The 2,909-nt window shown below is 44.0% G+C and overlaps 1 annotated feature.

Annotated features, from left to right (window-relative positions):
- Positions 1,117–1,286: an enhancer, noted in NCBI's record as "experimental_64395 CRE fragment used in MPRA reporter constructs". NCBI's record gives its function as "activates a minimal promoter by MPRAs in K562 erythroleukemia cells, with activity observed for the introgressed 3:112569658 variant allele {active_cell/tissue: K562}" and the evidence as "EXISTENCE:reporter gene assay evidence [ECO:0000049][PMID:34662402]".

The raw sequence follows: 2,909 nt of genomic DNA, 5'->3' as shown, positions 1-2,909 counted from the left end.
TGCCAACTGGTGATGGGCAGAATATATATTCTGTTGTTTTTTGGGGAAGCATTCTGTAGATGTCTGTCAGGATCATTTGGTTCAATATTGAGTTCAGGTCCTGAATATCTTTGTTAATTTTCTGCCTTGAGGATCTGTCGATTACTGTCAGGGGGTATTGAAGTCTCCCACTACTATTATTTGGGAGTCTAAGTCTCTTTGAAGGTCTTTAAGAACTTGCTTTATGAATCTGGGTTCTCCTGTGTTAAGTGCATGTATATTTAATATAGTTAGGTTAGTTAAGTCTTCTTGTTGAATTGAACCCTTTACCATTATGTAATGCCCTTCTTTGCCTTTTTAAATCTTTGGTGGTTTAAAGTCTGTTTTGTCTGAAATTAAGATCACAACCCCTGCTTCTTTTCTGTTTTCTGTTTGCTTGGTAGATTTTCCTCCACTCCTTTATTTTGGGCCTATGGATGTCATTGCATGTGAGATGGATCTCTTGAAGACAGCACACCATTGGGTCTTACTTCTTTATCCAGGTTTCCACTCCATACCTTTTAATTAAGACATTTAACCCATTTACATTCAAGGTTAGTATTGCTATATGTGGCTTTAATGCTGTCATTGTGTTATTAGGTTGTTATTATGCTGGTTTGTTTGTGTGGTTGCTTTATAGTGTCACTGGTCTGTGTACTTAAGTGTGTTTTTGTAGTGGCTGATAACCAGTCTTTTCTTTCCATACGTAGTGTTTCTTTTAGGGGCTCTTGTAAGCCAGGTCTTGTGGTACCAGATTCTCTCTGTATTTACTTGTCTAAAAAGGATCTTATTTCTCCTTTGCTTATGAAGTTTAGTTTGGCTGGATATGAAATCATTGGTTGGAATTTCTAAGAATGTTGAATATAGACCCCCAATATTTTCTGGCTTGTAGGTTTTCTGCTGAGAGGCCTGCTGTTATTCTCATGGGCTTCCCTTTGTAGGTGACCAGTCCTTTCTCTCTAGCTGCCTTTAACATTTTTCTCTTTCATTTTGACCTTGGAGATTCTGATGATTTTGTGTCTTGAGGATGATCTTTATGTGAAGTGTTTTGTGGGGGTTCTCTGTATTCCTGAATTTGAATGTTGGTCTCTCTAGCTAGATTTGGTAAATTTTAATAGATGATATCCTGAAAAATGTTTTCCAAGTTGCTTCTATTCTCCCCATCTCTTTCAGGGATGTCAATGAGTTGTAGATTTGGCCTCTCTACATAATCCCATGTTTCTTGGAGGTTTGTTTGTTCCTTTTCATTTTCTCTATTTTTATTCTTGTCTGTCTTACTTTAAAAAGCCAGTCTTCAAGCTCTGAGTTTCTTTCCTCAGCTTTTTGTATTCTGCTCTTCATACTTATGAATGCATTATTAAATTATTTTAGTGTGGTTTCAGATCTATTAAGTTGGTTACATTCTTTTCTATACTGGCTATTTTGTCTGTCAGCTCCCGTACCATTTTATTGCGATCCTTAGTTTCCTTAGTTTGAGTTTCAACATTCTCCTGAATCTCAACAATCTTTGTTGTTATCCATATTCTGAATTCTTTTTCTGTCATTTGAGCCATCTCAGCTGAGTTAAGAACTCTTCTTGAAGAACTAGTGTGATCATATGGAGGAAAGAAGATGCTCTGGCTTTTGTAGTTGTCAGAGTTCTTGTGCTGCTTTTTTCTCATCTTTGTGGACCAATGTTCCTTCGATCTTTGAAGCTGCTGTCCTTTGGATGGGCTTTCTTTTTCTTTTACCCTATTTGATGATATTAGGGGTTTGTTTGTGGTATAAGGTGGCTTCATTTCTGGAATGTTTTAGAGGTCCAAGGCTCAGCTCAGGACCCCTGGACTTCATGCTCTAACTCTGGGGTTCTATTATTGGGTCCTGGTTTTGTTCTTTGGCTTCTTGAGGTTAGGAAGGAACCTGCTGCACTGGAGGGGCCATGGTGCTCCAAGCTGGTCACAACACTCTAATGGTTACAACACTCTAATGGGTGGTGCCAGGCAAACCACTCCATAGGGCAGTAGCAGTGGGATCCATCCTGGTTCACATGTACCAGCAACAGTGACAGTGGCAGCATGTCAGGGTGCACACTCATGGACTTTACCAGGGTGCTAGTTGGTGCCAGGCTGCCAGCCTCCATGTGGTTGTTTGCAGCAGTATGGTGGGATCATAGCTCAGGGGTGCAGGGCCCCTGCCAGTGTCTGTGCACTCATTTGTGCCATTCATGGTGTTAGCATGGGGACAGGTTACTGGCAGATGCAGAACTGTGTGTGCCCTCTGCAAGAGTTCACACTGGCAGCCTTGGCTGCTCAGGACAGGGGTGGTTCTGCTTTTCTCCCTCCATAGTTTCTCTCTGGTGGCAGTGTCAGAACAGGGTAGTTGCAGGTGGGGGCAGGTCTAGTGTGCTCCGTGCCTGCCAATGCTCCAATGACAATGGCTGTTCAGCAAAGGGTAGGAGCGGGGTGCACTCACATTTGCAGCAGTGACAGGGCAGGGTGCATGTGCACACACATGGTAGTGTGTAAGGGAAGGGAAGGTCCCCTGGTGCACACGTGCACCAGCAAAGTAATGTTGGTGGGGGAGGGCTGGCAGCAAAGTGACACAAGTGAGCCTATGGATGGGGGAGGGTGCAGGCGAGCTGGTGTGTGTCTGCAGGGTCTGCTCTGCTGGAGCACTCTGCCAGTCAGGCATGGTCCACCAGTGCAGAAGTTATGATCTGAGCCGCCAAGAGGTACCTGGTACTTGGAGCCCTGGGAGAGGCCAGTAGACTGAGGGGTGCTCAGGTCAAACCAGCCCCATCTCATGGGCAAGACCACCCTGCAGAGTTAAGGTCCAACAGTTACCCTAGGGACAAAGTCTCCTGTGGCAGCAAGTTGAGCCTAAGGGTATGGGTAACCCTGGCTGTGCTTCAC

The sequence above is a fragment of the Homo sapiens genome, chromosome 3 (genome assembly GCF_000001405.40).
Source record: "Homo sapiens chromosome 3, GRCh38.p14 Primary Assembly".
Taxonomy (NCBI): domain Eukaryota; kingdom Metazoa; phylum Chordata; class Mammalia; order Primates; family Hominidae; genus Homo; species Homo sapiens.
The sequence above is the reverse complement of the archived record's forward strand: the minus strand, read 5'-3'. Positions and strand labels throughout refer to the sequence as shown.